At 41.8% G+C, this 10,498-nt stretch overlaps 1 pseudogene; it reads left to right on the plus strand.

Annotated features, from left to right (window-relative positions):
* Positions 7,180-9,381, plus strand: CBX1P4 (chromobox 1 pseudogene 4; annotated as a pseudogene).

Here is a 10,498-nt window from a genome sequence, read left to right on the forward strand (position 1 = left end):
ATTTAACCGTGAGTTGACACAGCACATGTTTCAGAGAGCACGGGTTGGGGGTAAGGTTATAGATTAACAGCATCCCAAGGCAGAAGAATTTTTCTTAGTACAGAACAAAATGGAATCTCCTATGTCTACTTCTTTCTACACAGACACAGTAACAATCTGATCTCTCTTTCTTTTCCCCACATTTTCCCCTTTTCTTTTCGACAAAACCACCATCATCATCATGGCCTGTTCTCGATGGTTGCTGTCTCTTTGGAGCTGTTGGGTACACCTGCAGAAAGGCTGTCACTTCACACTTGGAAGATTGCACAGCGGCCAGGCAGAGGCGCTCCTCACTTCCCAGACGGGGTGGTGGCTGGGCAGAGGCGCTCCTCACTTCCCAGACGGGGTGGTGGCTGGGCAGAGGCGCTCCTCATTTCCCAGACGGGGTGGTGGCTGGGCAGAGGCGCTCCTCACTTCCCAGATGGGGCGGCCGGGCAGAGACGCTCCTCACCTCCCAGACAGGGCGGCCGGGCAGAGGCGCTCACTTCCTAGATGGGGCGGCCGGGCAGAGGAACTCCTCACATCCCAGATGATGGGTGGGTTTTCAATGGCATCTCATCATTTTTGTAGATGAAACTAAAACCCTTCATTTTAGTTCAAGAAGTTCCTCATGATCTGATCCATGCCTGGCTCTCTAGCATTTAGTCCTGCCTCCTTCCTCCTATATCCCACTGAATTTCTCACCTTTTCTCCTCCTCCACAATGCTGTTTCATGCCTCCAGACCCTCACACGTGCTGTTGCATCTGCCCAGAACCTCATTCCTTCTTCTTCTGAGTGGCTTAGCATTCTGATCTCATGTCACTTCCACTAGGAAGCCTTCTCTGACCTTTTCACTTGAGCCAGAACCTCCTCTCTTGGACTCTTGCAGTAGCCAGATATAATATAGTCATGGTCTCATTGTGCTATATTATAATTGTGGGTTTACTTGCCCATCTCCCCCACTAGAATATGAGTTCACTGAGGCCAAGGACTGGGTCTTCATCTTGTGTTCTTTTTTTATCACTAGATACAAAGAAAGCTTGGTAAATACTTACAAGGGCATCTAGGCTTGGCTTAAATTCTTCAAGTAACAGACAGTTTGCTACCTCAAAGAAACCCTGTTACATTTTTACATTATTTCAAAGTTCTTCCTCACAGCAAGCTGGACTCTGCCTCCCAGTAATTTCTAATCACTTGTCCTTGTTCTGTCCTTAGGGCCTAAATCTCTTATTAAAAGACAGCGATCTACTCCCCAAACTGGGCTTTGGCCAGGGATACGGCTGTAACTGGTAGTTCTTTTTGAAACAATTTAGGACTGCTTGTTTTGGGTATGAATTCTTCTTTTCAATGAATATTTGATTTAAGGTAAGAAAAAAATTGAGTTTCTTCTAAAGTGTTTCAGTCTGTTATGCTATTTTGGTGTGTCCCCAAAATCTGCTTTCCTGAAAACATTTTGCTACCTTAATTCAAGCAAAGTAGTTACATTCAGCACATTATTTGTCACTTCAATGATGACAGTTATCCTTTCCCTCCACCTTTTCATGCAGACTCAATGGATTTCATTGGATTCTTTGTTCTCTGTTCTGGGCATTCCGTGGTGCTGACTTGCTAGCAGTTCTGTGCACTATCATGTTACTGCTCAGTGCCCCAGGCTTTGGCTGAAGAGGCCTGGCCTAGATCTGCCCGTGAGTTCTGGTACCACATCTGCAAAGTTCTGTGGAAATGCCGCACCTTAGCACAGGCTAGAGTTTCTCAAAGGATCATCTGCATTAGAATCTTTCAGCAAGTTGGTTAAAAATGCAGATTCCTGAACTCCTACTCCTGATCTTCCAGGTGAAAATCTGAGGATGAGGCCTCATAGTGCATATTTTAAGAAGCCTCTGGATGATTCTCATACTAACTAAGGTGAAGAACCACTGTCCTAGATGTTGGCAAAATAATCACCAAATACACCATCAGTCATCTGTTCTGGATATTCATTTATATCTACGTAGATGCAAACCTGTATCAATGTCCTATCTACTCATTTTGCTTTTTTCTCAATTATAAGCTCAGTGAGGGCAGAGATCCTATCTATTTTGGTCATTGTAGCCCCAGTGCCCAGGATAGTGTATGGCACACAGGTGCTGTTGAATGAAAGCACAGGAAACAAACATGTCTTTTTCATTGATCCTTGTAATACTGGGAAAGGCTACAGTGGAAATGAAGTGAGAGGCATGGGAACCAAAGGAGAAAACTAAAATGCATGTAATCACAGTGTATGGTGGACCCAGAGCTCTGGAGAAAGCCCTCCCATTAGTTAGTTCTGTAGGTGCAAGGTCTTCAGGCCATTCTTTTTGACTGTAACAGGCTGAGCAGCTGTACCTTGAAGAGACAGAGACTCCAATATGAATTCCTCCCTCCACACCAACCTCAATGTCTTTGGAGTTTGAGGAATGAGGGAAAGGCAAGATATGACAAGGGATTGCATTGTCATATCATCACTCATCACTCAAATAAATTAAAGCCTCAAGGAATTTTAATAATAATGGCTATAACAATTACCTTGAGAAGGTAGGATGTGGAGTTGCTATGAATCACACAGACTGGGTTTATATTCCAACTCTTACTAGCTTAATTTCTCTTTACTTCAGTTTCTTCATCAGTAAACGGAGATAACTTGATTATGTAATCCATGTGTGCTAGTTAAGGTAATGTCAGTTACCATACCGTAGATACCCTCAAACCTCTTGGTTTACTACAATTGAAGTTTATTACTGATCACATAAAGTCCAAATGGACGTTCTGGTCTGGTGAGTGGCTCCTCTCCACATGGTGATTTGGGGACCCAGGTTCTGTCTATATTGTAGAGTCCTCAGCTAGAACCTCTGCATTCAGTCAACAGACAGAGGAAGAGAAAGTGAGAAGGCACACCAGCTCCTAAACCACTTTGGCATGAAAGTGACACATGGCCATTTCCACTCAACATTTCATTGGGAAGAACTAGTCACATGGCAAATCTAGAAGCAAGGGAATATGAGAAATGTAGTTTAGTTGTGTGCTCAAGAAGAAACATGTATCACTTTTTGTTTCATTACAAGCAATCACAAAACTTAGTGGTTTTGAACAACAGCCCTTTATGTAGTTCACAATTCTGTGTGGCAGCAATTTGGGCTGGGATTAGCTAGGCAGTTATGCTGATCCCAGTCAGACTCACTTGATCTCAGCAAGGCTTACTCATGGCAAATGTGGTCAGCTGCCATGTTGGCTGGGGACTGGTTAGTCTAGGATGGCCTTATCTGGAAAAGCATGTCTTTATTCCATTTGTCTTTCACTCTCCAGTAAGCTAGGCCAGTCTTGTTTATATGGTAGGTAGGCAGGCTCCCAAGAGCAAGAGCAAAAGTCTGCAAAGCATGTTGAGGCCTAAGCTTGTAAATCACACAAGGTAGCTTCTCTCACATGGTTGTCCAGAATCAAGGAGTAGAGATATATAAGCTACAAAGAATTGTGGCCATTTTTGCAACCTATCGAAAAGAGGAAATATGTTTAATTAAATAGGTGGTCTGTAACTTGTTTAACAGAGTACATGACATCACAGTAAGTTCCCAATAGATTAATCTATTGTCATTATTATTGTTATAATTTATTGAATATCTACTATATGTTAGGCTCTGTACTAGGCAATTTATATATATATTATCTTATTAAATTACCACAACTATTTATTTTACATATGAAGAAACTGAAGCTCAAAAAGATAAAGAAAACTACCGGAGGCCATTTGATTAATAAATGATGGTACCAAAGCTCACATTCCCTACTTCCTTATGTCTTAGGATGCAAACTAAGCTTGGATTGCCTGAAACTCTGAAGGAGAAACAAAACTTGAAGCTAAGATGAAATTAAATATTTAAGAAAGTCTGAGGAATGACATGGGAAGAAAGAACCGGGCATTCTGACCTGAAATATGAGGGTGATGCCCAGAGCCAGTTTTGGCAGATGACCCTCAAGTTGGTCACAGCTCATCTCAAGGGCAAAGCAATGATGATTATTGTGACTCATTTGATATTGTATGTTGCCTGGTTCTTTCCCTTTTCACAGAGGATGAGGAAATTCCTTTCTGATCAAAGAATCTGTGTTCGTGTTAGAAGATCTTGAGTAGAAGGAAGGAGGTAGAAGGCAAGTGGGTAGAAGAAAGGGAAATTTAGCTTAGGAGTAGAAAATACTAGAGCAGAGGAGGAATTTAAAATCCCCTAGGCCAGATATTCCCAGCATCTTTTGGGAATGAGGACACAGATAAGATAGAACTTTGTTGATATTATAGACAAGGCTTAGAGAGCATATGTTGAAAAACATATTGCAGTAACCTCATTGCCTCTCAGGAGTCTGCAGCCCATAGGTTGGGAACTGAGTATCTAGTCCTGAAGAGTAGATAGGTTTAATTTTGAGACCAACTGTATTAATTTGGTAGTGATTACTGGAAGCACTGTGTTGAGATAGATTCTGAGGACACATCTAGATGTTAACAGAAAAGATTGCTATGAGTGATTATTGATCTCTCTCACTGGTCTGGACAAGGATGGTGGTGGCATGTATACTAAGTATGTTTTCTATCTCTGATACAGTCACATCTTCGTAAGAAGAACTGCAGCAAAGGAAGTTGGCATGATTTTCTTCCTATTACGAAGTGAGTTAATAGAAGCAAACCTAGATCCCTGATGTCCTGATTCATGCCTTTTCCATGACACTAAGCCAGTTAAAGAACCATATTTTTTGTTACCATTTATTCTCAGGCAAAATATGTTTTTCAATTTTCTTTCTATGTTGCCCCTGTTTTTTCTGGAAGTCTGCTTTCATGCCAGACATGGTATAGTTTTCTTCTTTCATTTAAGAAAACAAAATTAACCAAAGTTTATTCAGGGATTGCCTGGTGAATTTAACGGATTGTTGAAAAAAGGGTCTCATCTCTGCTCCATTTCCATGTCCCCCCTATGGTTATGACACATTTGTGCCCAACCATTAGACTTTGAGATTAGAGGACTAGCTCATTGCTGAACTAAAATCTAGTTCAATTCAAGAAAACCCGGTGAAAGTCCCCTTTTCTCCTCCTTTTCTCTCCGTCCTCAACCTCCGAGTCCTCTTGTTCTCTTTCTATTTTAATGCTTTTCAGGTACCTGAGATTAATTAATTTGTTTACTCATATGCACACTCCTGCCCCCACCACACACACACCTCTATACCCATGAAACTTGAGGTTCCCACAAAACCTTTGTTCACCAGAGCTAGAATGGATTTAGGCTTCATCCAGTTTATCTTCTGAGGACATTAAGGCTCAGAGAGGGCAGAGCTTGAAGCCAATGTTCCAGGATCCAGTACACAAAATGGCCAGTTTGCTGAATGGCCAATGCACAACCCAGTCTTGCTTTTGTGAACTCTTTAGTTTATGGGTTTTCATTTTGTCTTCATTTTAAGGATTGTTACGTTTGCCTCTGCCCTAGCTTTCTCCTACTGCAGCTGAGTCTGGGGAGAAGAGAAAGGGGAGAATGAAGAGCATGAAAAGATTGGATAAAGAATGTGAATAATTTCTCTTAGCATCTTCTCTATTAATAATATATAATTAAAATGCTTCAGATATATTCAGAATGTATTGTTGAATAAGATTCCATTAATGAAGGACTCTAAAAAAGAACATACTATCATGACCCCACTCCCCTGATAAGCATATGAATAAATTTCCCCTGTACCCCTAAATTTTCTCTCTCTCCCTTTCTCTGGTCCTCAGTCCTAGAAGCCTTTCTTCTTACCTTCTCTCAATTCTCTCAAAACACCAAGCTCTTTCTTATCTCATGACCTTTGCACTTGCTGTTCTCTATGCTTTGAATGCCCTACCCCCTCTTAGCATCAATATCTCCCTGGCATTTTTAAAGTCTCAGCTTAAATGTTCTCTTTTTAGTGAGGCTTTACTCAGTCACCTAATATAACTTCACCACTTTATCCCATGTATCAGTTAGTTTTTGCCATGTAACAAACACCTCAACATTTAGTGGCTTAAAACAACCAGCGTTTATTTAACTCATGATTCTGCTGGGCCCAACTGGGCTCACTCATGGATCTGAACTTGGCTGGTGAGTTGGTGAGGTCCCAGATGACCTCAGTCACATGTCTAGTGGTTGGCTGGCTGTCACTTGGGGTGATGGGGATAACAGGGCCATATATTGCTTATTCTCCAGAAGGCTAACCCAGGCTTGTTCACATAACATCTTAGAGTTCCAAGAACAAGAGTGTAAGTCCTTAAATGTAAACACTTTTCAAGTCTCTGCCTACATTGTATTTATTGTGATCATAGTGGCCAAAGCATATCAAAAGGCCACCCCAGATTGAAGGGGAAGAGAAAGACTTCACCTCTTGAAAAGAGAACACAAGTAGAGGTTTGAAAAGCCCTTGCACATTGGAGTTTGCTCTCTCACTGTGCTTGGGACCCTGAAGCACTGTATGACAAGCCTAGTATAGCCTGCTGGAGATTGAGGCTACAGGGAAGAGAATTAAGGTGCCCCAGCTAATAGCCTGCCAATCACCAGACATGTGAGTGAGGCTGTCCTGTATCATCTGGCTTCCAGCTGATCCACCAGCTGAGTATAGACATGTGAGAGAGCTGAGCAGAGATCAGCAGAGTCAGCCCAGATTTTTAAATCACCTGGTCAACTCACAGAATTGTGAGCTAAATAAAATATTTATTGATTTAAGCCACTGTGGTTTGGGGTGGTTCGTTACACAACAAAAGCTAACCAGTACAGGGGGCCTCGATTAAGAAACCAGACTGAATCAGAGAATAATATATGATCCTATGTGGTTAGGTCTTGTAGCTGACAGTATTAATGCCCCACCCTTAATTGGTCAGGCCTTACCATTTCTGTCCATGTTTATCTGACTTCCAACTGCCAATTTCTGCATTTTTTTTGCCAAAGGGCTTTCTCTGGGCACCAGAGCCCACCTTGCCTGTGCACACAGTGGGCCAGAAGTTCTGGAGAATTGACATTTACTATGAGCAGCCTTCAACCAATGATGAATGGGAGTTCATGTATATATAACCCAATAACTTGCAAAGTGAACAATATTTTCCAGACCATCTCCTGGAGTTCCCCAGTGGGACTGTGCTCCAGGAATTGGTAAAGAGCTTCCAGGTTCAGCAGAGGGGAGGACTGCTGGCCAGGGCCTTTGATATGCTGCTTCAGTGAGGGGATCCATTGCCGCCACCCTGCTTGCTGCCTTCCTGGGTGCCACTCCCCCAGTGAGTCCAACATGACATGCTCCTCTCAGGCTCTTGAATGCTGCTCTGAGCAGTGTCACCCTTTACACTAGAAAGCTGTCAGAAACTATGGGGGAAAAATAAAACAAGAAGGAAATAGAGGAGGTGCTAGAAGAGGAGGAAGAAAATTATGTGGTGGAGAACATTGTTGACTGTAACTGGTAAAGAGCAAAGTGGAGCACCTCCTAAAGTGGAAGAGTTTCTTAGATGAAGATGACTCTTGGGAGCCAGAAGAGAACCTGGATTGTGCGACCTCATTGCTGAGTTTCTACAGCCACAGAAAATAGCACCTGAGACAGATAGATCAGAAAGAGGCAAGTGCAAAGCTTATTCTCATTCTGAAGATAAGGGAGAGGAGAGCAAACCAGAGAAGAAAGAAGAGTCAGAAAAGCCACGAGGCTTTGCTGGGCTTTGGAGCTGAGCAGATTATTGGAGCTACAGACTCCAGTGGAGAGCTCATGTTCCTGATGAAATGGGAAAACTCTGATGAGGCTGACCTCGTCCCCGTCAAGGAAGCCAATGTCAAGTGCCCACAGGTTGTCATATCCTTCTATGAGGAAAGGCTGATGTGGGCATTCCTACCTCAGGAGGGCAATGGCAAAAAAAGATGGCAAGAATTACTTCTCCTGAGCACCAGCCCCTGTCACATCTGGCTGGGAGTTTCAAGTGGGGAGAGAAGGGGTTAAGACTTGTGTTGACATCACAGAGGTGGCTTGAGAAGATGTCCTTTGAAGAGCCAGTATAGTCTCTGTGTCCTGCAGCAGGCCAAGTGCTTCAAAACTGTTCCCAGCTGTGTAGCTTGCACATGGTTCCAGTGGAGGGGAAGCGGGATAAGTGTTTCAAGGCAACCTTTGTTGCACTTTGCTGAGAAAAGCAAAGGGCTTTCTATGAAGGAGAAAACTTGCAGAATTGGGTGTGTGAGAGAGCAAAAAGATCCTCAAAGAGCATCTCCACAACCCTCAGCCTTCTTCCCAATAGTGTCAACTCTGCGTTTTTAGAGTGTAGCATTAGGTAGTTTTTGGCTATTACTGGTGTATGCTTTGGGGGAGGGAGAGATGGAGTGGGGAGAAATGGAGATGGGTAGCCTCATTTTTATTACCATTTGGGACCAGATTGGGAAAATAGTGAAACAATGGAAAGGGCAATGATTTGTTTCTATGTCCAGAATATTTTACATTAAAAATGTCATTGGTACCATAAATAAGGACTGTGAAAGAATGTTTAAAAGCTGTTAATAAGCATGTTCATACCTCAGTGTCTTGTGTATCCCAAAAGTATATACACCCCCTATGTACCCACAAAAATTATTTTTTAATTAAAAAACCTGAATGTCTGAAACCTGTAAGCCAAGGTATTCCCTGCTTGAATTTAATCCTGTTCCCCACAAAGAACTAAGCCAGATCATAAGTTACCAAAGCTGCCATTTTGCAGATGGAAATTGACTGAGGAGGGAAAACCTTTTATTGGAGCCTATACACAGGTGGATCATTCTGTCTTAGAGGTGCTAATTCCTGAAATTACAGAAGAAAACCCTTTATTTTCCAATTATGAAGTTATAAATATCAGCTTCGCCATCCAAGCCACAGGCTGAGGTGTTGGGGAAGGAGAAGAGGGTGATAGAGGAGATGGAAGAGTAGGGAAAGGCAAGGGCCTATGCTCAGGATGGAGAACTCTTGGAGCCTTTCTGTTTGTTGAGCTTTGAACTCTGAAACCATTGGTGGCAGGTTTCAATCACTGACAGCACAAGTTTCATTGAATCAGTTTAGGAGGTGAATGATTTCAAAAGCCTTTGTATCAGGAGAAGATTAAACTTTCATACTGGGGCAGTGGTTCACTTTAAAACAAGACAAAACAAAACAAAAAACATTTTAAAAGGAAATCCTAAGAATTAAGTGATACTCAAAATGCTCTGTGTTAAGTCAGGAGCTCCATCAGTTCTTGATGTCATCTAGACTTGCATCTAGAGCTACGTCGTAAAATTGTTTTAGGCATGTGTTAGGTTTCTGTGAAAACTTTGTTTACATGTAAACTTCGTACCACGCTGTCAATTTTTGTCTTAATAAAACTATTGATTTATGTTTTTAAAAAGCACTTCCATCATCACCTCCCTGCTCTTGTCTCATTCATCTTTAGCCTGATTTGGAACCATACGGCTCATTTAGGCTGTGTCACTGGCTGAAGCTGGACATTTGCACGCAAAAAATTTGGCATGATGATTTTGAAGTGGGGAGGGGAGGGGAGAGCTTTTGATATGGTTATCAGAGATAGAATGAAGGTCAAGGATAGGAAGAAACTGGGAGACAAGAGAGAGGAATGAGACTGGGGAGAGATCGTCTGTATCTTATATAGCAAGAAACAAAAGTTACAAGTTTAATGTGTTCATTTTTCTTTTAATAGTCTTTTTTCTTCCAATACTATTTTTAGGTGTGTGCTTGTTTGATGTATAATTTACATATAGTGAAATACATAGATCTTCAATGAGCTTTAGTAAATGTATATGCCTGTATAAGCCCCTCACAAATCAAGATATAGAGCATTTCAATCACCCCCAGATTGTTCCCTTGTGCCCCTTTGTAGTCATTCCTCATTCTTCACCAGAGGCAATCGCTACTGTGATTTCTGTCATTATATATTATAATTGGCTATTCCAGAATTTCATAAAAGTGAAATCATACAGTATGTACTCTTTTATGTCTTGCTTCTTTACTCAATACAATGTTTTTGAGATTATCCATGTTGTTGTATATATCAGTAGTTCATTCCTTTTTATTGCTGGATAGTGTTTCATTGTATGACTATAGTATAATTTATTTATAAATTCTCATGTTGGATATTTGCGTTGCTTCTTGTTTTTATCTATTCTGAATAAAGCTACTATGAGTATTCATTTACAAGTCTTCTTATGGGCATATATTTTCATTTCTCTTGAGTATATATCTAAGAGTGAAATTGCTGGATCATAGGGTAGGTGTGAAGCATTTGCTCTGGTTGCCTTTGCGACTGACTCAGTTTCCCCAGCCCTCTGCCTTGCCTGCCTTCCTTCAGGGTCTAGAGTACTAAGATTCCAGCAAGCATTCTGTGGAGGGGCCTCATGCATTCCCCTGCAAGTTTCAGAGCAGGAAATAGGGGAGGGTGAGGAAATAGCATAGGGCTAGAAGTTAAGCATGAGTGATTAGGCGACCAGGGTCTAGTCT

The sequence above is a fragment of the Homo sapiens genome, chromosome X (assembly GCF_000001405.40).
Source record: "Homo sapiens chromosome X, GRCh38.p14 Primary Assembly".
In the NCBI taxonomy this organism is placed as follows: Eukaryota; Metazoa; Chordata; class Mammalia; order Primates; family Hominidae; genus Homo; species Homo sapiens.